This window comes from Homo sapiens, chromosome 9 (assembly GCF_000001405.40).
Source record: "Homo sapiens chromosome 9, GRCh38.p14 Primary Assembly".
NCBI classification, from domain to species: Eukaryota; Metazoa; Chordata; class Mammalia; order Primates; family Hominidae; genus Homo; species Homo sapiens.
The window spans coordinates 81,953,659-81,978,286 of NC_000009.12; the positions used below are offsets into that span (position 1 = coordinate 81,953,659).

Consider the following 24,628-nt stretch of genomic DNA (forward strand, 5'->3'; position numbering starts at 1 on the left):
AGACATTATTACACAGAGATAAAGTAGACTTAGAACTAGATTAATGAGGTGCAAGAAATGTAATAGCTAAAGGATATATGGTTTCTTTTTGAAGTCATAAAAATGTTTTTAAAATGACTGGTGATGGATACACAACTCTGTGAATATAAAAATCACTGAATTATACACTTAAAATGGGTGACTTATACGGTATGTGAACTGTATTTCAATAAAACTGCTTTAAAAACTGAAGGATTTAAAAAATAAATGCTTGACATGACAGGGACAGGAGAGGATACAACAAAAAAGGTCAACTCATTTTTGGAAGGTGGAAATCTGGTAGAGGACAGGTAATTGACTTAGTGCCTGCAAACCAATTCACACCATGTATTAGTCCATTTTCATGCTGCTATAAAGAACTACCTCAGAGTGGGTAATTTATGAAGAAAAGAGGTTTCATTGACTGATAGTTCCACAAGTTGTTCAGGAGGCATGGCTGGGGAGGCCTCAGGAAACTTACAATCATGGCAGAAGGCAAAGGGAAAGCAAGCATGTCTTCACATGGCACAGGAGAGAGAAAGCTAAGGAGGAAGTACTACACACTTTCAGACAATCAGGTCTTGTGAGAACTTGCTAACACAAGAACAGCAAAGGGAAGATCTACCCCCATGATCCAATCACCTCCCACTGGATCTCTCCCCCAACACTGGAGATTACAATTCAACATGAGATTTGGGAGGGGACAGAGAGTCAAACCACATCACACCACAAAACTGCAGAATACAAGTGACATGATGGAACCAAACAAGAAATTAGGAGTTACATGCCATAAACAAGGTTCATTGAAATTTTGATTCTTTTTTGTTTTACATTGTATATTAGTCTGTTCTCATGGTGCGGATAAAGACATACCTGAGACTGGGTAATTTTTAAAGAAAAAGAGGTTTAATGGACTCACAGTTCCATGTGGTTGGGGAGGCCTCACAATCATGGCAGAAGGTGAAAGGCACATCTTACATGGCAATGGACAAGAGAGAATGACAGTCAAGTGAAAGGGGAAACCCCTTATAAAACAGTCAGATATTGTAAGACTTATTCACTACCATGAGAACAGTATGGGGGAAACTGCCCCCATGATTCAGTGATCTCCTACAAGGTCCCTCCCACAACACATGGGAATTATGAGAGCTACAATTCAAGATGAGATCTGGGGACAGGTGCAGTGGCTCACGCCTGTAATCCCAGCATTTTGGGAGGCTGAGGTGGGTGGATCATGAGGTCAGGAGATCGAGGCCATCCTGGCTAACATGGTGAAACCCCGTTTCTACTAAAAAATACAAAAAATTAGCCAGGCATGGTGGCAGGCAACTGTAGTCCCAGCTACTCGGGAGGCTGAGGCAAGAGAATGGCATGAACCCATGAGGCAGAGCTTGCAGTGAGTGGAGATCACACCACTGCACTCCAACCTGATGTGACAGAGCAAGACTCCGTCTCAAAAAAAAAAAAAAAAAAAAAAAGATGAGATTTGGGTGGGGATAGCCAAACCATATTATTCCTCCTGTGGCCCCTCCTAAATCTCATGTACTCACATTTGAAAACCAATCATGTCTCCCAACAGTCCCCCAAAGTCTTGACTCACTTCAGCATTAACTCAAAAATCCACAGTTCAAAGTCTCTTCTGAGACAATGCAAGTCCCTTCAACTTATAAGCCTGTAAAATCAAAACAAGTTAGTTACTTCCTAGATACAATGGGGTTACAGGCATTAGGTATATACAGCCATTTCAAATTGGAGAAATTGGCCAAAACAAAGGGGGCTCCAGGTCCCATGCAAGTCCAAAATCCAGCAAGGCAGTCAAATCTCCAAAATTATCTCTTTTCACCCCATGTCTCACATCCAGGTCATGCTGATGCAAGAGGTGAGTTCCCATGGTTTTGGCATTTTCCTTCCACATTTCCCTAGCAGAGGTTCTCCATGAGGTCCCCACCCCTGCAGCAAACTTCTGCCTGGACATCCAGGAATTTCTATAGATCCTCTGAAATCTATGCAGAGGTTCCCAAATCTCAATTCTTCTGGGCACCCACAGGAATACCATGTAGAAACTGCCAAGGCTTTGGGCTTGCACCCTCTGAAGCCACAGCCTGAGCTGTACCTTGGACACTTTTAGCTATGGGTAGAGCAGCTGGGATGCAGGGCACTAAGTCCCTAGGCTTCACAAAGCAGGAGGACCCTGGGCCTGTCCCATGAAACCATTTTTTCCTCCTAGGCCTCTGGGTCTGTGATGGGAGGGGCTGCTGCAAAGGTCTCTGACATGCCCTAAATACATTTTCCCCATTGTCTTGAGGATTAACAATTGGGTCCTCATTACTCATGCAAATTTCTGCACCTGACTTGAATTTCTTCTCAGAAAATGGGTTTTTCTTTGCTATTGCATTGTCAGGCTGCAAATTATCCAAACTTTTATGCTCTGTTGTCTTTTTAAAACTGAATGCTTTTAACAGCACCCAAGTCACCTCTTCAATGCTTTTTGTTGCTTAGAAATTTCTTCTGCCAGACACCCTAAATCATCTCCCTCAACTTCAAAGTTCTGCAAATCTCTAGTGCGGGGCAAAATTCTCCCAGTCTCTTTGCTAAAACATAGCAAGAGTCACCTTTATTCCAGTTCCCAACAAGTTCCTCATCTCCATCTGAGACCACCTCAGCCTGGATTTCATTGTCTATATCATCATCAACCTTTTGGTCAAAGCCATTCAACAAGTCTCTAGGAAGTTCCAAACTTTCCCACATTTTCCTGTCTTCTTCTGAGCCCTCCAAACTGTTCCAACCTCTGCCTGTTACCCAGTTCCAAAGTCGCTTCCACATTTTCAGGTATCTTTAGAGCAGCACCCCACTACACCCGGTACCAATTTACTTTATTAGTCCATTGTCACACTGCTGATAAAGACATATCTGAGACTAGGTAATTTATAAAGAAAGGTTTAATGGAATCAGAGTTCCATGTGTCTGGGGAGGCCTCACAATCATGGTGGATGGTAAAAGGCACGTCTTACATGGTGGCAGACAAGAGATAATAAGAGCCAAGTGAAAGGGGAAAACCCTTATAAAACGGTCAGCTCTCATGAGATGTATTCACTACCATGAGAACAGGATGGGGGAAACTGCCCCCATGACTAAATTATCTCCCATCAGGGCCCTCCCACAACACATGGGAATTATGGGAGCTACAATTCAAGATGAGATTTGGGTGGGGATACAGCCAAACCATATTGCAGTGTATAAATTTTTTATACATAATTAAAATCTTTTTTTGGGGGAGCTCTTTTTCAGTATATTGTAAAACCCTGTTGAAATGTCAGCATGCTTCAAATGTGGAAAGGGAATCCCAGGTTCTTGCCTGGAACAGAACCTGAAACAAGTGTTTTAAAGTTGGCATGGCATACTACTTTGGTGTATTAGTACACCATGCCAACTTTGTACACTACTAGGTCCAGGTGTGGTGGTGGCAACTGTGGGAATCAAAGCCAAAAATCTCAAATGTTATATAAAAATGTAGTCAATGGTCCATTAAAAATGTATTTATTTGAAGTTTAATATAATTAAACTTGCAGAAGAGTTGCATGGATGGTAAACAACAATATATTGGTTCATTTGCATTGCCATAAAGAAATACCTGAGGCTGGGTAATTTATGACAAAAAGAATTTTATTTTGGCTCACAGTTCTGCAGGCTATACAGGAAAGGTGGCAACAGCATCTGCTTCTGGAGAGGGCCTCAGAAGATTTTTAATCATGGCAGAATGAAGACTAGAGCCAACATGTCACATGGTGGGAGAGGGATCAGGAGAGAGAGTGGAGGAGGTGGCACATTCTTTTAAACAGCCAGATCTCATATGAACTCATTTATTACCATGGGGAGGGCACCAAGCCATTCATGAGGGATCCACCCCTTTGACACAAACACCTCCCACTAGACCCACCTCCAACACTGGTGGTCATATTTTAACATGAGATTTGGAGGAAACGAAACATCCAAACCATATCACAACAGTGTAACTTTTATCCAGATTTGCCTATTCACATTTTGACCCATTTGTGATCTCTCTCCTATATCCCTCCCTCCTACCTCCTCTCTTCTCTCTCTCTCTCTACACACACACACACACACAAACACACACACACACACACACACACGAATTCCTGGACATCAGAGAATACTTTTCATACATCATCCACTTTCTTCTTGACTATTTCACTGTGTATTTCTTAAGAAAAGAATATTCTTTTACATAGTCAATTATCCCCTTCAGTAAATTGAGCATTGGTGTAAAACTTTTAATTAATCTCTTATCCATATTCCATTTTTGTCAGTAATATCCTTTGTGGCTTAAAAATAACCTCCATTACAGGATCCAGTCTAGAATTATGTATTGCATTTAGTTCTCATGTGTCTTTAGTCTCTAATCTAGAGCAGTTTCTCAACATTTTTTTATGGCATCACCCTTTTTGAAGAATATATTCAATGTGTAATTTTTATAATCCTCTCTTCTTAGAAAGTTTATGGTGGAGCTTATCTTGCTCTGGCTGTAAAGGACATTTTTACATTTGTGAGTTCTAGGGACCATACAGGCTGTTAGGACCAGACATTATAAACAAACAGAATGAAACCAAACATACAAAACAACAAAAACCATCAGGATGCAAGGCTGTATGGAGATATATTTCTCAACAGAGAGACCTCCTGTAGTCAAGGGAGGGTAGATGTGAGGAGGCAGGCTTAAAGTTTACCTCCTTTTGGGTAGAGAAAATGGAGAAGCTGTGGATACAGAAGACAGGCAAAGCTGTCATCACTGGTAAACCCTCATCAGATGAAAAGGATTGGGTGCCTGGGGTCAAGATGGAGTCATCAGACTCAGTGAGGGAATTTAGGCAAGCAGTGTAAGGCAATGACACAAGGCTTAATTTCAGCAGTTCATAACCTAAGTAGAGAAGCTTCAAGGGTTGTAACTGTTAAATGACTGGCTAACATGGGGAGATAAATACATATATACTATAAACAAAATAGACATTGTTTGAAAAAAGTATAGAGGAGCCATAGGAATTGGGGTGAAAAGTTAGGAAGTAGATGGAAAAAAATAATAAAAACTTTCATAAAAGAAGTAATCATAGGCATAATTCAAAACAAAATGCTATGCTAAGTTTCAGTTGTGCTCATTATAGGCTATATTACACTAAGGAGAAATCTGCTTCCTAAATCAGGATAAGTTTGGTTATGTGGGTTGTGGTTCAGCACAGTTGCTCTGTGAAATTGAGGCAGAATTTTAAAATGCTGGGAAGAAGAGAGGGGGTTTGGTAAAGAGAAGAAAGAAGGTGCATAGGATAGAACACTGTATAGGTAGAGGGAGCTAGATTTGAGAGCCCTTAGGGGTGAATAGCCTAAGAGAGATTAGAGGAGAAAAAATTACTGAAAGAGTTCCAAATTTTTTGCCAGAGATGGGCCATGCCTTTGTGTCCCTCTTTGTTGTACAGGTTACTCTGTTCTCTGATGGCTTTTGGTAAACATGGATCTTTTTGAAGAAATATGGAGGGGATAGGTTGCTGCTGAGTATATTCCTGGTTTTGTACAGGTGAAAAAAAAACATTGTGTTCATGGGGAGGTTATAGTTGAGGACAGAGTAGATCTTGAAGGTGTAAATCCATGGCCACGTCACTTTCAAAGATAGTGGGCTCCAAAGGCGGATCATGAAGCAGTAAAAGGTAATAGGTGGAATAAATAGAAAATGTTACTAATGTAAACATATAGTATCATGAAAGGGTGCAGTTGGAGGGTAAGATGAAGATCTAAAAGGACCCAGGGGAATGGACAGATCAGTTGGGCTAGATGATAGGGGGAAGAACTGTGGGTTCATCTTCCATTTGTTGTCCCCGCCCCACCCTCAAGAACTTCTGGTGTCTGTGTTAAAGTTCCATGATATAGGCCTGGAACTCTGATCTGGAATGGGGACTCAGCACTCAGCTTCTGATAATGAAGACTACCTTCTTTGTCTCAGAAGCCTTACTGCACCATGGCTGAGCTCCAGCTTGACTTCCTGGGTATTCCTATCCTTGCCTTCCTGTGTAGGATGGGGCTCCTCCTTCTATCTCTGTGCTACCTAAAGAGTAATCTGTGTTTTCCAATATTTTGGAAACAGAGAGACATCTGTCAGTTAAGTGAGCCAGAGCTGTACAGAGATTTTAGGTCTTTATTCTTTTCTAACATGTGTATTTAATGCTAGAAATTTCCTTCTAAACACTATTTTTGCTACAATTTTGATTTTGCAGCAAATTTTGATTTTTCCACTTTCATTTAGTTTAAAATATTTTAAAATTTCTCTTGATACTTCTTCTTTGCCCATGTGTGTTGTTTAATCTTCATGTATTTTGGGATTTTCTGGATATCTTTATGTTATTGATTTCTAGTTTTGCTACATTATGGTTAGACCATATGTAGCATTATATGAGTAGACATTATATAATTTCTTTTATAGTTATTAAGGTATGCTTTATGGCCCAGAATGTTATCTACCTTAGTTAATGTTCCATGTAAGCTTGAACAGAATGCTGTTGAATGAAGTATTCAATACATGTCAGTTAGATCAAGCTGATTACTAGTGGTGTTCTGATCAACTATATCTTCACAGATTTTCTGCTTTATCTGTCAATTACTAATAGAGACATTTTGAAATCTCCCACAATAATAGTGGATTTATCTATTTCTCCTTGTAGTTCTACCACTTTTGCCTCATATATTTTGACACTCTTGTTGTTAGATGTGTACACATTAGGAATTATTATGGCTTTTTGGAAAATTGACCCCTTTGTTATCATGTAATGCCCCTCTTTATCCCTGACAATTTTCCTTGTGCTGAAATCTGACTTGTTTTAAATTAATATAGCTGCCTCTATTTTCTTCCGATTACTGTTAGTATGGTATGTTTATCTCCATCCCTTTGCTTTTAATCTATCTGTGCCTTTATATATTAGATGGCTATCTTGTGGGCTGGACATGGTGGCTTACCTGAGGTGCAATCCCAGCACTTTGGGAGGCCGAGGCAGGTGGATCACCTGAGGTCAGGAGTTCCAGACCAGCCTGGCCAACATGGTGAAACCCCGTCTCTACTAAAAATACAAAAAATTAGCCGGGCGTAGTGGCGGGCGCCTGTAGTCCCAGCTACTTGGGAGGCTGAGGCAGGAGAATGGCGTGAACCCGGGAGGCGGAGCTTGCAGTGAGCCGAGATCCCGCCACTGCACTCCAGCCTGGGCGACAGAGCGAGACTCCGTCTCAAAAAAAAAAAAAAAAAAAAAAAAAAAAAATACAAAAATTAGCTGGGCATGGCAGCAGGTGCCTGTAATCCCAGCTACTCACTGGGGCTGAGGCAGAAGAATCACTTGAACCCGGAAGACGGAGGTTGCAGTGAGTCACGATCACGCCATTGCACTCCAGCCTGGGCGACAAGAGCAAAACTGTCCCTAAATAAACAAACAAATAAATAAATAAATAAATGGGTATCTTGTGGACAACACATAGTTGGGTCTTGTTTTTTAATCTACTCTGACAGTTTGTCTTTTAATTGGTTAATTTAGGCGATTCACATTTAAAGCAATTTTTAAAATACAGTTGGATTAATATCTACCATTTCTGCAACTGCTTACTATTCATTGTACCAGTTCTTTCCTTTTTCTCCCTCACTTTTTTGCCTTCTATGGTTTTAAACAAGAATTTTACACTATTTATTTTTAATTATTCATATTTAAGGTGTAAAACATGATGTTTTGATAAACATAGTGAAATGATTACTATAGTCAAGCCAATTAACATAGCCATCAGTTACTTTTTTTGTGGCAAGAGCATCTAAAACCTACTCTTTTAGCAAGCTTCCAGCATACAATACAGTATTATTACCTAAAATCATGTTGTACATTATCAAGTCTCTAGACTTTTTTATCCTACATAACTACAATTTTGTACCTACTTCTTCCCTGCTTCCTTCACTCCCACTGCCCCCACCCTGGTAACCACTGTTCTACTCTGTTTCTATATATTCAACTTTTTATAAAAAAAGATTCCAAATACAAGTGAGACCATGTAGTATTTTTCATTCTGTGTCTTGACTTATTTCATTTAGCATAAGCCCACCAGGTTCATCCATGTTTTTGCAAATGACAGGATCTCCTTCTTTTTTAAAGGCTGATATATATATATCTCATAATTCCTTTATTCATTAACTGATGAACAGTTTGGTTGTTCTTATATCTTGGCTATTGTGAGTAATGTTGCAATGAACATGGGAGTGTAGATATCTCTACAAGGTACTGATTTCATTTTCTTTTGGTATACATTATATCTATTTTGTCTGATATAAGTATAGCCACTCCTGCTCTCTTCTGGTTACCATTTGCACGAAATATCTTTTTCCATCTCTTTACTTTCAGTCTATGTGTGTTCTTAAAGCTAAAATGAATCTCTTGTAGGCAGTATAAGAGTTAATTATATCTTTATTATTATTATTATTTACTTTTTAATTTATTTATTTTTGAGACGGAGTTTCACTCTTGTTGCCTAGGCTGGAGTGCAGTGGTGCGATCTCAGCTCACCACAACTTCCACATCCCGGGTTCAAGCTATTCTCCTGCCTCAGCCTCCCAAGTAGCTGGGATTACAGGCATGCGCCACCATGCCCGGCTAATTTTGTATTTTTAGTAGAGACGGGGTTTCTCCATGTTGGGCGGGCTGGTCATGAACTGCCAACCTCAGGTGATCCACCTGCCTCGGCCTCTCAAAGTGCTCGGATTACAGGCGTGAGCCACCAAGCCTGGCCAGTTATATCTTTTTTTAAAACCCAGGCACTCTATGTCTTTTGATGGGAGATTCACATTTAAAATAATTATTGATATGTAAGGATTTCCTATGGCCATTTTATCAATTTCTGTTTTGTAGTTCCTTTGTTCCTTTTACCAACTTCCTTTATGATTTGAGGATTTTTTTTTTTTTGAGACAGAGTCTCGCTCTGTTGCCCAGGCTGGAGTGCAGTGGTGTGATCTCCGTTCACTGCAAGCTCTGCCCCCCGGGTTCATGCCATTCTCCTGCCTCAGCCTCCCGAGTAGCTGGGACTATAGGCACCTGCCACCACGCCCGGCTAATTTTTTTTGTATTTTTAGTAGAGACGGGGTTTCACCGTGTTTGCCAGGATGGTCTCGATCTCCTGACCTCGTGATCCGCCTGCCTCGGCCTTCCAAAGTGCTGGGATTACAGGCTTGAGCCACTGCGCCCGGCTGGTTTGAGGATTTTTTTTAAACAAGCATTTTATATGATTCAATTATTCTCTTTTCTCTTAGGTTGTAAATTATATTTGATTATTTTTGATATGGGGTCTAGCTCTGTTGCCCAGACTGGAGTACAGTGGGATGGTAATGACTCACTGCGGCCTTTACCTCTTGGGCTCACAAAATGCTCCCACCTCAGCCTCCCAAGTAGCTGGGATAACAGGAATGTGCCACCATGCCCAGCTAATTTTTAAAAAACCTTTTTGTACAGTTGGAGTCTCACTATGTTGCCTAGGCTGGTCTTTAACTCCTAGGTTAAAGTGATCCTCCTGCTTTGGTCTCCTAAAGTGCTGGGATTACAGGTATGAGCCACTGTGCCCAGCCATAAATTACATTTCTTAAAAAAAAAAAATTAGTGGTTGCCCTAGTTTGTAATATATTGCATTTACAGCCAATCTTAATTCACTTTCAAATAACACTATACAGTTTCACAGTGTAGTAGCACAGGTACCTTATAATAAAATGCTTCCAATTCTTTCTTCCTCTCACTTATAACATTATTGTCATTCATTTTACTCATCCATGATACTATAATCACAAAAATGTTGTTTTTGGTGTCGTTCTTATTATGGCAATTAAGAATAAGAACAATGAAAGTTTTATTTTACCTTCATTTATTCCTTTGTTGGTGTCCTATCTTTTTTTTAAAAAAATAGATAGATAGATAGATAGATAGATAGATAGATAGATGATAGATAGATAGATAGATCTGAGTGATCATTTTCCTTCTCTCTGAAGAGCTACCTTTAAATTTCTTGTAGGGCAGATTTGCTGGTAATTAATTCCTCCTGTTTTGTTTGTTTGCTTGTTTGTTTTGGCCAGGGAAAGTTTTTACTTCTTCTTCACCTTTGAAAGATAATTTTGCTGGATACAGAATTCTGGGGGTGGGGTGTGGGGTAAAGGGGGTGGGCTTCTAGGCTTCTAGCAACACTTTAAATATTTTACTCTATTCTTCTTCCTTGCATTGTTTATCATGAGAAATCCAAAATTTTTATTCTTGTTCCTTTATAGGTAAGGTGTTTTTTACCCCTCTGGATTCTTTCAAGATCTTTTTCACTGAGTTTTCTGCAGTTTGAGTATGACATGCCCAGCTGTATATATATATATTTTTTTTGAGACAGAGTCTCACTCTGTCACCCCGATGGCCCATCAAAGGCATTCTTCATGTCCATTGTGATTTTTTTTATTTCTAACATTCCTTTTTGATTCTTAGAGTTTCCATCTCTTTATTTACAGTCGTCATCTGTTCTTGCATGTTGCCTACTTCTTCCATTAGAACGCTTAATAATCATAGTTTTTTCTATTCCACGTATGATAAATCCTAAATTGGTGCCATATGTGAGTGCAGAACTGATGCTTACTTTGTTTATTTAGAATTTTTTCCTTGCCTTTTGGCATGCCTTGTGATTTTTAGTTGAAAGCCAGACCCAATGTATTGGGTAATAGGAAATGAGGTAAACAGGCTATTAGTGCTAGGATTTATGTTAATGTGGCTAGTACTTGAGCTGTGTTAAGTGTTTGCTGTTGTAGTATATGACAGAGCCTCCTGAATTTTCTCCAGTTTCCTTGTTTTTGTCTCCTCTGGTATCATTAGCTTTCCCTAAGATTACCTTCTTAAACAGAGTCTACACCTTGTAGCTCTTTGTGCCGTCATCCCCTGTTACTATACTGGAGCTCTGTTAATGTGGTGTAAGGTATGTAGGAGGTGATGCAATTAAACGTCAGTCTTTTAGTCCTGTGTCCCTGGGTTGTGATGTTCACAAGTGTTTCCAAGCCTTTTCTCCCCCACCTCTTAGGTGAGACACGAAGGCTAGAGAGGGCTGGAGTTGGGTAACTTCCCTTTCCTCATGTGGGATCATGCTCTGGTAGCCTTTTTCCCTAATGAGTAGGCCTCTATTATGAAGAACACTCAGTATATTTGAAAATGGTAAACTTTCCCTTGTCCCTGCCAGAAGCATGAGAGTTTTCTCATTGCTATTCATTGTGAGAACCTGATGGGTTTCCCAGGGGTAAAACCCATGAAAATGCAGGGGAGTCCCTAAGACTGTGACCCCAGGAATTTTCTCACTCTCATACTAGTTCACAAACATCCTCCAGCAATTTGTCAAAGTGTCCATTTAAATGTTCCTACCAGTTTATGGCTTCAGTGGCTTCTGCTCCAGGTAAGCTGATCTCAATTATGATTCTCTTTATTCATCTTTCTGAGGATTTTAGGAGGGTTTGCCCTACAACCTCAATTCCCCAGTGGCTCCAAGAATAGTTATTTTCAGTTTGTTCAGCTTTTTGCTTCCAAAGATGGGAGTGGTAAGTTTTTTGAATGTCAGAGCTGGAACCAGAAGTATCCCCTCAGAAAATGATTCCTTATTTTCCTGTTCTTCTTCCCAAATTTATAAATGAGTTTGGTTGGCTTAGAGAGACACTTGACATGGGAAGTCTGAGGAGAGGCTAGAACATCACTCTTCTAAGGGAAGATGTCAGACAGGGCAGGGGTTCAGGAGGACTAAGGTTTCCATCTGAAGCTCACAGACTACCTATCTGGCTGTAATGGAGAATTCCAGGATAAAATCCCAAACACAGTAATTCTGTGGTCCTGGATTAAATTATTTAGAGACTGGGCTCTCAAAAGAACAGTTTCTCCTGACACTTGATCATGAGTAATATTTCCATGTCACGTGTCACTCGACCAAACCTTCCTTCATGTTGGGCTGACGAGGAGGGCAATGCTGAGGGCCCCTGAGCAGAAGCTGGAGCTGGAGTGCTGTTTCCAGGACACAGGTTCTGTGAGGGAGCAAGATGTGACTGTTGGCCTCTGAATCTGTGCCTTCCTTGAACTGAGGACTGCTAACTGAGAACATCAAGTGCAGCTCTCACAGACAAAACTGTCCTTTGAATTTTTCAAAGGGAAAAATTGGAAATATTTTATCACCTTTAAAACTTGAAAAAAGAAGCGTTTTTTTTGTTTGTTTTTTTGTTTTTTTTTTTGATACTGAGTCTCGCTCTATTGCCTAGGCTAGAGTGCAGTGGCATGACTTGGCTCACTGCAGTCTCCGCCTCCCGGGTTCAAAAAATTCTCATGCCTCAGATTCCTGAGTAACTGGGATTACAGGCTTCCGCCATCACACCTGGAAGAAACACATTTCTTTTCTTTTCTTTTTTTTTTTTGAGACGGAGTCTTGCTCTGTCGCCCAGGCTGGAGTTCAGAGGCGCCATCTCGGCTCACTGCAAGCTCCACCTCCTGGGTTCACGCCATTCTCCTGCCTCAGCCTCCTGAGTAGCTGGGACTACAGGCGCCCGCCACCACGCCTGGCTAATTTTTTGTATTTTTAGTAGAGACAGGGTTTCACCATGTTATCCAGGATGGTATTGATCTCCTGACTTCGTGATCCGCCCGTCTCGGCCTCCCAAAGTGCTGGGATTACAGGGGTGAGCCATCGCGCCCGGCCGGAAGAAACACATTTTTATTAATTAAGATAGAGAGTCATATTATTCTCGTATAATGAAGGTCTGAGCTTCCTAGACGAGTGAGAGAAGTGATTTCTGGCCTCGCATTATTTTCTTTTTGTTCTTAGCATCAAGGCAGAGCCAAGAGGAGAAAGAAAAATGGGACATTTAAAGGTAAGGTTCTGCCCATTCAACTTCAGCTCGCCAAGGATGACCCTTCCTGTCTCTTCCATGAGGTCTCAGGTTCCCAATTTCTGAGGATGTCAGTTACTAGATACAGTCTCTCTTAGAAAACAGTCCTCACAGGAGAGGCTCACGGGAAAGCAATCAGACCTGAGACACCTCTGGGAGTCCCTGCTCTGCCCATCCATGCACATGAAAGAGTGATGAACCTGGACAATAGGTGCTGCCCAATAGGTGGCCATGTGAGATCTATTGTGGAAGGACTACTGGTTGGTTGGTTTGGAGTCACAACTTCTGCCTCTCCACTTTGTATAAGTACTTTGACTTCCTCCTCTTTGAGATAACCACTGACATCCGTACTTCATGTGATTTATTTTTATTATTTTTATTTTATTTTATTTTATTTGAGACAGAGTCTTGCTCTGCTGCCCAGGCTGGAGTGCAGTGGTGCGATCTCCACTCACTGCAAGCTCCACCTCCCGGGTTCACGCCATTCTCTTGCCTCAACTTTTGAGTACCTGGGACTACAGGCGCTGGCCACCATGCCTGGCTAATTTTTTGTATTTTTAGTAGAAATGGGGTTTCACCATGTTAGCCAGGATGGTCTCAATCTCCTGACCTTGTGATCCTCCCGCCCTGGCCTCCCAAAGTGCTGGGATTACAGGCATAAGCCACCACACCTGGCCCCATGTGATGGTTTTGAGCATCACATGGAATACTGTATGTAAAAGGACTTTATAAATGAAGCCACTTACATATGTGAACCATGTTAATATTATCAATGACAATTTGAGCTTTTCTACAGATCCTTGAGGTTCTTCAAGACCAATCAACTAAGGGCACCCCTAAGGGGCATTCTACTCAGGCTCCTATAAGATCTCTTTGCTTCTAACTTCATCACTATCCTGTTACTCACCCTACTGGCTTGTCAGGTTGGAGAACTTGCCAGAGTGAAGTAGAGGAAGAGAGGAAGTTGTTTTTTCTTCTGCAAAGGTGTCTCAACATTATTCTTCTTTCCAGTATCCCTCTTTTTAGTAGAGTTCATGTAATTATAGGGCATCACAAAAGCCTGGGGTTGAAATGGGAGGAAAAATCCAGTGTCAGAATGTAAGAGCCATAGGGAAAGGGGTAAAAGATATACTGTGAGATAAGGAAAGCGGAGGGGGTCATATGAAAAGACAGCACGCATTGTGAGGCCTTAGCTTTGCAAGACCTGTCAAGGTCACATATGTTTGGCTGCAGCTTTGTACCTCGTCTCCTGTAGTCCTCTGGGCCAGCATTACAATACCATCCATTTTCGGCAACTATTATGTCCAGACCCCCTCTGTGAGGTGAGTAATAGAGCAAGTGCTGAGGTCAAGTGACTGCTGTTCCAGGAGTCCCCAGAAGATGCTGCTCCCTCTGCGTCCCCTTTGGCTTCCACAGCTTTTGTGACCAAGTCATCATTCACTTTGATCTCTGCCCTTCCAGCAACCCTTCCAGAAGATCTAATACTGGCTCCTCTGCCTGAGCCTTCTCCACTGCCGTGCTCCATTCTCTCACCTGACCTGAATATCCCCTTAGCTGACTCATTTTCACCCTCACCGCTGAGTGACCGTCTGCCACCACAGCCTGTTCCTCCCTTGGATTCCAAATTCTCTGTGGACCATTTCCCATACCAACAGCTTGCTTTTCCCCCTCTCCCACCACAACACACTCAGAAGGCAGATACTGATTTCCAACCCAAGGCCTCTCTGTCTCTGAACCCCACCCTTGACCCCACCCTTTCCCAAGATATCAACCCCTTATCAGATGTTTCCCAGGCAATGAATCCCACTGATTTACGTGATTGTGATCATACACCACTAACCCTGTCTGCTTCACCGCCACAAGACTGAACTGTGACTCAGTCTAAATCAAGTTCCATCTTATTGAAACCTGTTTCAGAGATATCCTCTATGGAAAGTCCTATTTGGTTGTCCACTTATGTTCCGACAATCAGAGGCATGGACCATTCCAACTCAGAATTCTCATGGTGGCAGCCTTACGTCAGGAACATGTTCCTCCCCAGATTACCATATCCTTATTTTCAGCGGGAGCATGTTTCCCTTCCTTCACCAGAGACCTGTCTCTGGGGAGACTCTGATACCAAGCACTTGGAGGCCAGTAGATATTCGTTTTTGGCCTTAAGATACAGGCACTCTTGGAAAAACAAATAAAAAAAAGAATGGCTTTCCAGATTTTGGAGAAGAAAGAAAAGGAGAAGGGATTATTTTCAAAATAAATGTGGCCAGAATACCAACTGACATCTTCAGGAATTCTATTGCAGTCACTTGTTGATGAGCAGGACACCACAGCCCCCCAAAGCAGCTGGAACACCAAAGGCACAGCAGAGCAGCTGCAGGTTTGTCAGCAGCTCCTGTATGTCAAAACTTTGGGGGGAAATTTGCAACAGAAATATAGCTAGCTCTTCTAGGGTCTTCCCTCTCTGCATAGTGAGTCCTCAGTGGCTACTCTCCTGGTGTCTAGGAGCAGCTCCCCACTAGTGTGTTGCTTTATTGTATTCAATACAGTCCAAATGCATGATCAAGAATCTCTACCACTTCCTCAGTTCCACCATTATCCCCTCACCCCTATACATCCCCAATCCTTTCCTCAAACCAACCACCAACCCCAGATCCTACCTATCACTCAGGTCCATTCCCAGGCTCACCTTCACTCCTCACTCCCTACCCTACCATCACCTTCTCCATCCCAGGTTAAGGACTGTGGAATATCTTCCCATATACTCCAGAATGAGGCTGACTCTTACACCTCAAATCAACATCTGGAATGCCATGTGTTGCAGAAACAACAGGAAGGTTTGAAGGGTTTAGTCCCTTTGCTCCAAAAATCTTAAGAAGCCCTTCATCCTCCAGCTCCCAACCTTCCATTGGTCAGCCAGTCCTTCCAGGCCTATGTTCCAGTCTCCACCTTTCCTGGTTATTTTCATATCAGAAATGATCCCCAAGAGAAATTGGAGCTCCATGTTCCAAAGAGGCCAGTCTTACACTGGTGCCTCCATACCTGCAGGAATCTAGGATATCTAGCACTGATGAAGACTTGGTGCAAATCAACAGAAATATCTTAGCAGAATTGCAGACATACTCACTCACAACCCCTTGAACTTCAGGGTCACAGTAGCAAAAATCTAGGGAAGACAGAATTGAATCTCCCAGGAAGTTTCCATGAGAGGTCCCAACAAAGTTTCAGCTATGAAATGACATGGCAAAGAATCTTGGGTATATCTTAGCGAAGTGTTCATTACACAACCCACCAATGGTCTCAGAAAACTACCTGGTGAAGGGTTTGAGGGCTGTCTCTGACAGAAAAAGTAACTGGGTAGATAACTCAAGGAATGAATTACTAAGTTTATCAAGGAGGAACATAGACCAGAATCAAGTGAAAACCATTCTTAGATTACATTTGAGCAGGAAGTTTTGGCAGGTCACTTTGGATAGGATTCCTATCAGAGTATGTCATTCATGGCTGGCTAACAATACCTTGCCTCCTTGTGGGAGTTCCCATACCAATAAGGAAAACAGAAATGTGGCACCACTGGTGGGCAGGGTGTACTGCAAGATTACCACTCTGGAGCTTTCCTTTCTTGATTCCAAAACCCATCAGGTGTTGGAGGCTCATATGATGAGGGTTAGGGTAAATCAGAGGGGGGCTCTACCCTTCAAGGTTCTTGAATCCATAAAATTCTATATGTTGAGAAAAGCCAAAACATGGCCTCTTCCCCAGCTTAACTTTCCTTTGTCTGCCACCTATATTTCTAGGATGGTTTCTAAAGGTATGGTTTCAAGGTCTCTCGAGGGATGCTCTAATGCTTTTCAGGGAGACAAGTTAGAAATGACAAATCCAGTTCCCAGCTTGGATTGTCCTCTACCTGCCACTTCATCTGTAAACACAGGACAGGGAGCCTTGAGACAATCACCCTCTGCTACTCGCCATAAACTTACAGAGAATGCCCAGACAATTGAGAATGGCAGATAGACTTTTCTGCCCTCTACACACAGCATCATAGACAAAGAGAATCAGAATGAGACTGTACTAGCCAACAGACACAGCTCAGAGCTGTCCACAAGGCAAGACGGGGGTAGAGATGAATCAAGGAATGAGAAAGTGAGTCCCAGCAATAGTGTAGAAAGGCTTCAGGGCAAACAAAATGGTAGCAGAGACTTCAGAACATTTTTCTATGTCCAACGTGTCCAGGGAGATAGAGGAGCTCTGTGCTTTTCAATCACAATCTAATCATATCTTGACAACCAGTGAGTTGGGAAGCTCCTCAGTGATGAACACGAATACAAGTAAAGAAGAAACTACTCTGACCACCAAATACTCCCCACCAAGAATATTGATTGCTGAAGATCCTAAATCATCAGACTTTAAAGGACAGCTGGTGAGTTAAAGTTTAAATTGGAGAGTGGGGAACATAGTCAGGCTCAAGGCTGTCCCCGCGACATGTTCTTTACTTCAGATAGCTTGATTTCTGATTCCTCACTGGCTCACTCCCTGAATGTCTCCAGTGAGGATAGGGCAGCTTCCCAGGTACAGCATATACACCCGGATGATGACGGATCAGCATGAAGCAGTTGCAAGAGCCCCAAGTCTCTAAGTACGTCTTATGGGAGTGCCAGGATAAGAATTTCCCATTAGCCAAGAGGGGACCCAAAGCAAGAGCCTTTTGGGACCCAAAGCAAGAGAATGTGGGAGCGAGGACTTGGGATTAGGAACATCCAAAGCCACAAGGAAGAGCCATCTTGGCAAGGACAGGAAATTAGAGGAGACTTCAATGTCTCTGTCACAGAAAGAACCATTTTGTCTTGAAAGTTACTTTGGAAAAAAGATGAGGCATTTTCTTCAGTGGATTGATTTCAAGAGAAAAAGCAATGGGCAAGAAAGTCCCATGCAAAAAGACAAGTTAATGCCAGCCTTTCTACAGCACCAAGACCTAGTTGAAGGTAGACCTGTCTTTATGAGGACTCGTGAAGCTCTTGAGCTCATGACAGCCATTGGGAAGATACTAGAGGAGAAACTGGCATGTAGGCAGGAACCTGAGGACTTGGAATTAAGTCAGCCAAAGAAGAGCCACAGACTCAGGCAGAGCCTGACAACAGACAACCCTCCAACTATGGGCTTCCCTCTGAACAGTGGCAAGGGGAAGAGTCAAGTACCAACCCTTATAACCAAGAAGCTGTCTCTGATGGCCCAAGTTATCTTTCAAGTGTTAGATGGATCAGGACTAGGATTAGTCATCCTCAGAAAGTTGTGACATTTAAAGAGCAGCTATTATGCCAGAGTAATCCCCCCCCCCTGCTGCCCTCTAGTGAGCCTGTGTCCCATCCAAGCCCCATCTGCATGCAAGTATGCCAGGTGCCCCTGGCTGACATTAAACCAGCTTAAGGCACTGTGTTCAGAGATTTGGCCCTTCTTTGCAAACAGAAAATGCTTCTCCAGCACTTACAGGAAGGAAAAATTTTCCACAAAGAATAATCCAGTTCTTGTAGAGCCTCTCAGTTTTCATGATAGTATATCCTCTGATGAGAGCAATCTCTTTTTAGCATAACCAAGAATATTGACCCTCCCCAATAAATGTTTCTTTTAATATAGAGTGGTGTTCTCCATGTACTGCTCTGGAGGTGTGGATTTTGGGTATTCCAGAGCTTGTGCTCAGGGAAAGGAAGGAATTAGTTTAGGTCTTACTATTTTTCTCTTTTGGCTTCTAAAAGATGACCAGTCCCTTGTAGGGAGCCTGATAATGGCCTCCTCAGTCTTATCCTAGGATCTTTTGACACTTTTCAGATGTCCTGTAATTAAAACACTATTATTTCATAAAAGTACAAAAAGTTTACTCTAAAACCTTTCAGGAAGTTCCCCCTACCCTACCGTACCCTACCCTACCCTACCCTTCCCTTCCCTTCCTTTTTCGAGTTTTGCTCTTGTTGCCCAGGCTGGAGTGCAATGGCATGATCTCGGCTCACTGCAACCTCTGCCTCCTGGGTTCAAGCGATTCTCCTGCCTCAGCCTCCCGAGTAGCTGGGAATACAGGCATGTGCCACCACACCTGGCTAATTGCATATTTTTAGTAGAAACAGGGTTTCTCCATGTTGGTCAGGCTGGTCTCGAACTCCTGACCTCAGGTGATCCGCCCACCTCAGCCTCCCAAAATGCTGGGATTACAGGCATGAGCCACTGTGCCCGGCCTTTAGGAAGTTTTAGAGTTGGAAATGTGGGGGGTTTTAGACCCTAAAATCAGTGACATGGAGAAATCTTTTTCTTGGATCTCTTGGTGAGGAATAAATATTCCTCCCAAGAGGCAGCCCTTCTCTCCCTCATGAAGTTTGGGGCAATGTGCCATGTTCCCCACCTCCTACCTTACCCTAATGAAAATGGAAAATGGGTAGTAGTACATCTTTTCCCTTTCTGTACCCTTTTTGGAGCAGTAGTGGGGATAGAAAATGCATCTCTGAAAGAGGCCAGGAATAAAAATAATTTTCTGAAAATAGTGGTTTACTTTCATTTTTAAAAAGCTACTGACTCCAGAGCATCAGACAGGTGAGTGGTCATTGTATGAGGCATGAATGGGTGGATTTTGCTATTGTGGACACTTATTTGGCTGAGGTATGGTCCAGGCAGTGTGGGTCCTGCTGAAAAATCTGTTATATGTGGCATGTTACTGTGTCTAAAAAGAACATTTTGAAGTTGACCATAAGGTCTCTTTGCTTATGAGGTTATCTTGAGGAAAGAGAAGACTCCCTTCTCTAGGGAATCTCTTCAAGATGCATGGCTTGATAGCACTCTTACAAGACCAAGAGATTGCCTGGCAATGACTTGTAGGAATGGTCACCAGGCAGTTACTCAGAACTTGGGAAAAAAGGAGACAGAGACCAAGAAAAATGTAATGGGAGAGTGAGTGGGCAAGGAAAAAAAGAGAAGAGGGAAAAGTATAACCTCATCATCCCTGCTCATAACTCCATCCTGGCATCCACTGCACCCAACACTCCTTTACCTAGGCCTCACTTCCTAGAGTCTAATAAGCGATATTTAGAGCACAGTGATGCCACTTCAGTATAAGAGTATGAGGGATGATCTTTGAGCATAAAGACAATATTTGCAGGGATGTTGTCAGACACAATATCATCCTATTTGGAGAAGGTGATCTTGGTCCCTGCCTTCCAGCCATGCTACTACATCTTACACCAAGGTTATGATGATTTACAAGTATGTTAGATATGTATTGCTGTGTAATAGATACCTCAAAATTTAGTGGCCTAAAAATATATATTTATTATCTTACAGTTTGTGGATCAGGAATCCAGGCAAGGCCTAGCTGGTTTCTCTGCTTCAGGGTCTCTCACAAGGCTTCAATCAAGGTGTCAGCTGGGGCTGGGGTCTCATCTGAAGGCTTTACTGGGGAAGGATACACTGCCATGCTCACTTGTGTAGCTGTTGCAGGATTCAGTTCCTCAAGGTCTATTGGACTCAGGTCCTCAATTCCTTGCCAACTGTTGGCTGGAGCTAGCTGGAGGCCACCTTCAGGTCCTTATCATGTAGGCCTCTCCAGTGTGGCAGCTTGCTTCATCAAAGCCAGGAAAGGAGAGAGTCTGCTAACAAAACAGAAGTTACACCTTTTGTAAACTAAAATTGAAAATGATATCCCGTCATCTGTATCTTTTTTCTACTGGTTAGAAGCAAATCAGAATGTCCAGCCCACATTTAAGGGGAGGGATAATTACACGTGTGTCAATACCATGAGGTAGAGTCACTGGAGACTTCTTAGAAGACTTCCTAACACAAGGGTTTCTTTTTGGCCATCCCATTGAGTTCACTGAAGCCAAAGTGGCCAAAGGTGCCAAATAGGTCATCATCCTGATCCATATCCAGATGATCAAGGTGGAAGTTGTTTAACAGCTGTGTGGAGTGGTGGCTAGTTAAAAAAAAACACACATACACACACACAAACAACCCGCAAATATCAAAGAAGTTGTAGCATCCAAAGAAAAAGAGAAAGTTGGTATGAAGGTAGAAATTGTGTGGTAAAGTGAAAAGATCCCTTAGAACCACCTGAAATACCACTGCCAGTATTCAAACTTAGAGAAGAAATTAGGGGCAAAAAGTCTGGAAGTAAGACTGGCCCTAGGCAGGAGGGTTCATATAGGAACTCGATTAATTTCCTCAGCTTCCATTTCTATCCATGTCTTTGCTCTGTGTTATGAGTTGGCTTCATTAAGACTTTGTGTCTGGCAAGTTCATAGCTATATTCTCCAGGCTTCAAGTGCAGATAAAAATAGGTTGCCTCTCCCACTAGTTACTTCAAAAGTTCCATTAGTACCCTGCTGGCTCCAATCGGGTCACATGCCCATTCCTAACCAATCACTGTTGCCAAAAACGTGGAATGATCTTTTTGGCCAAGTCTGAGTTACATACCATCCTCAAAATAGGAGTGTTGGGAAAGGCAACTCCACCTGCACGTAGACTGAAATCGAAATTGGGTTTAGTTTCCCATAAGGCAATAGAGGAAATATTTCCAGAAGGTGAGTAAATTCTGGGTGACAAAAGTAAGATGGATTTACTAAAGCCCTCTCTCTTACTGCTCCATTTCTTCCTTCTTGTTCAGAGTGATGTCATTGACCAAAGCTTAGACGTTCAGGAAGAATGGTAATTCTGTGGATAGCCTTGGGAGGGGAAAAAGTTGGGATTGGGGTTCAGGGTAAGGAACCCTCAATGTGAAGGAAATCAGTTGAAGGCCTCAACATCCAGGTGAATAGATGTCATCTTAAAGCCCTTTACCTTCATTCCAGTTCAGTTACTGCCATACCCTAGAACTACCAGGAACATCTCTGCTTTTTGAAAAAATACAGTCTGACATTCCACCCTTTGTCCTTCTCACTTATGCCCTCAGTATGCCAATTCTTCAACCAATTCAGGAATTGCAAGCCACTTTAAACTTTCTCCTTGTCAATCCAATACCCTTTTAATTTCCTTCCTCTCCAAGAAAAACTTCATGATCCACACTTAACCACAAACCTGGTTAAGATCTGGACTTTATGGTCTACTCCAAACAACCTATCCCAGTGTCTTTTCATCTTTCCTGCCTGGGAAAATCCAACTTGCTACCTTTACTAGACCTGTCTTCTAAAAACAAGCTGATTCTTTTTGGATAAAATCACACAATTAAGTGTTTGGTGCCACCATTAATTTATTATCTACAACTAATGGCCAGTTTCTAACACTGCCTGAAAATAATCCATTCATTCCTCCAGTGAGTACTTTGTGCTAGGCAGTCTTCTAAGCACTTGGGACACACCAGTGAGGAAGCAAAGCTCTCTGTCTTGTGGAGTTTATCTTATTATTTTCTTAGTAAATTTCTTTGCTTTTCTACTCAAAATTACAATTTCACTTTCCTAATTTTCTCCACCCCACTCACCCATTGAACATATGTGCTGGACCACATATATTACAAAGGAATGAGAAGACAACAGATGGGAACCTTTCATCATAAAACTTAAAAATATCCCAAACACCTTGAACTCCCATCAAATAACTTTGCTCTTTCCTTCCATTATACTTAAAGAGGTTTCCCTCAGATACCTGCCTTGATCCTCCCAAGCTGTGATCCGTCCTTGGTTTCCAATTCACAACACCCTCCACAGTGTTTTGGAATATTTGGCTTAATAGTCTGTCTTCCAGACTGAGATCATGTCTCCCTCATCACGGCTCTGTGCCCTGCACTTGGTAATTAGATAGCTCAGAAACTTCTGGAGGAATGAAAGAGCAATAGGAAAGATTTCAGACAGGAGGCATACTACAGCATCTGTACAGCAAATTTGTATAGCGTCCTTTGGGGCCCAACCTTGCCTGGGGGTGGAGCCACGGCCAGGGGCAAGGCTTCATCCAGAGACCCGGCCTGCGAGGAAGCGCTGCTGGGCTTCCTAAAGGCGGCAGCGTTGGCCACAAATCTCACCTCAGGCTTCTGGATTCTGTCTCCATCGCTTCCGGAAGACAAGAGCTGAGATTTGCTTCAAAGACATGGTCCTGGAAAAGGTCTCTGGTCACCGAGTGCCCTTCTTCCCTACCCTGCCTGAAGGAGGATCTCTTCCTTTGTCCGCCAGTTTCTTTTCTTTTCTTTTTTTTTTTTTTTTTTTTTGAGATGGAGTCTCGCTCTGCTGCCCAGGCTGGAGTGCAGCGGCGCCATCTTGGCTCGCTGCAAGCTGCGCCTCCCGGGTTCACGCCATTCTCCTGCCTCAGCATCCTGAGTAGCTGGGACTACAAGCGCCCGCCACCACGCCTGGCTAATTTTTTTTTGTATTTTTAGAAGAGACGGGGTTTCACAGTGTTCGCCAGGATGGTCTCGATTTCCTGACCTTGTGATCCGCCCGCCTCGGCCTCCCAAAGTGCTGGGACCACAGGCGTGAGCCACCGCGCCCGGCCTCATCCGCCATTTTCATCCCAACTGGCAGCGCGCCTCGCGGCCTGGGAGCCCCCAACCGATCTCAACAGCCCCGCCAGCGCGTGAGGCCTCGGAAACCGCTCAGAGCCCTGGGCGCGGGGCTGCACCTGCCAAGGATACTCGATGGAACTCGAGGGAGATGATGGTATAATAATTAGAGTAACAATGTTGACCGCTATTAAGGCTTCGCTTTGCATTGGCTGCCTGGCTTTGAATCTCATATTTCACGTAATTTTTGAGGAGATACTGATATCTGCTAGTAGGGTTGGCCCTGAGTACTGCAATGAACAAGTAAAGAACTTTGTTCAGTTAAGGGCCGAAGTTAAGGAATGGGCTAAGGGCCCTGATGCAGTTACAACATGGGATTTTTCAGACACCAGAGAGGCCAGTGCCTTGGAAATAAATGCCTGCGCTGGACAGGAGGACAGTGTAAGATGTCAAAATGCTGGTCCACACACAAAATTAAGAGATCATCATCCCTCTCTGTAGGATCAGTAACCGGAAGAAGGATGCTGTCTCTACACGCTGTTTTTCAGAGGCGTCAACAAGTGCTTTTTCCCCTTCTCTGAGGGAGCCAGAAGTGTGTCTGGTAGGAACCGTGGCTGGGAACCCCAGGTAAAGGTCTACCAAGGCGCAGTGCCAGTGGACAGAGATTAGGTGTACTCCTGAGAGTGGAAGCACAGCCATTTGTCACGCCTTTCAAGATACAGAACAGCAAGACAGGAGGCTCTCCAGCAGAGAGGACTGCAGGCTTTTGCAGGACAGAAAATCTCAGGTAACTGTCTTTAATTACACAAATATTGATATATTCATGCATTTATTGAGAGCCTACTACGTGTCCGTGTTCCTTGTAAGACAGGAATATCACTATGTTTGCCCTCATAACAGGTGAGAGGGCGTCCTTTTTGTGACTGTTTCCCTTTTTAGAAAGTAGTACAGGCCGGGCGCGGTGGCTCATGCCTTTGTAATCCCAGCACTTTGGGAGGCCGAGACGGGCAGATCACGAGGTCAGGAGATCGAGCCCATCCTGGCTAACATGGTGAAACCCCGTCTCTACTAAAAATGCAAAAAAAATTAGCCGGGCATGGTGGCAGGCGCCTGTAGTCCCAGCTACTTGGGAGGTTGAGGCAGGAGAATGGTGTGAACCAGGGAGGCGGAGCTTGCAGTGAGCCAAAATCAAGCCACTGCACTCC

At 42.9% G+C, this 24,628-nt stretch overlaps 2 long non-coding RNA genes and 1 pseudogene across 3 annotated transcripts in view; 2 read left to right on the plus strand and 1 right to left on the minus strand.

The window, feature by feature from the left end:
• Positions 1 to 23,431, minus strand: part of LOC105376105 (uncharacterized) — a 91,092-nt gene extending 67,661 nt beyond the window's left edge. For both annotated transcript variants that reach the window (NR_188610.1, NR_188611.1), the window contains exons 1-3: positions 22,950 to 23,431; positions 20,283 to 20,589; positions 13,878 to 14,030 (exon numbers count right to left, since the gene is read on the minus strand). This is a non-coding gene — a long non-coding RNA (uncharacterized LOC105376105). The remainder of the gene's footprint in view (positions 1 to 13,877; positions 14,031 to 20,282; positions 20,590 to 22,949) is intronic.
• On the plus strand, positions 12,905 to 17,633 carry SPATA31D2P (SPATA31 subfamily D member 2, pseudogene; annotated as a pseudogene).
• Positions 23,432 to 23,586: 155 nt separating the features above from the next.
• Positions 23,587 to 24,628, plus strand: part of LOC105376107 (uncharacterized) — a 378,142-nt gene continuing 377,100 nt past the window's right edge. Inside the window, exon 1 of the long non-coding RNA XR_002956914.2 lies at positions 23,587 to 24,210. This is a non-coding gene — a long non-coding RNA (uncharacterized LOC105376107). The remainder of the gene's footprint in view (positions 24,211 to 24,628) is intronic.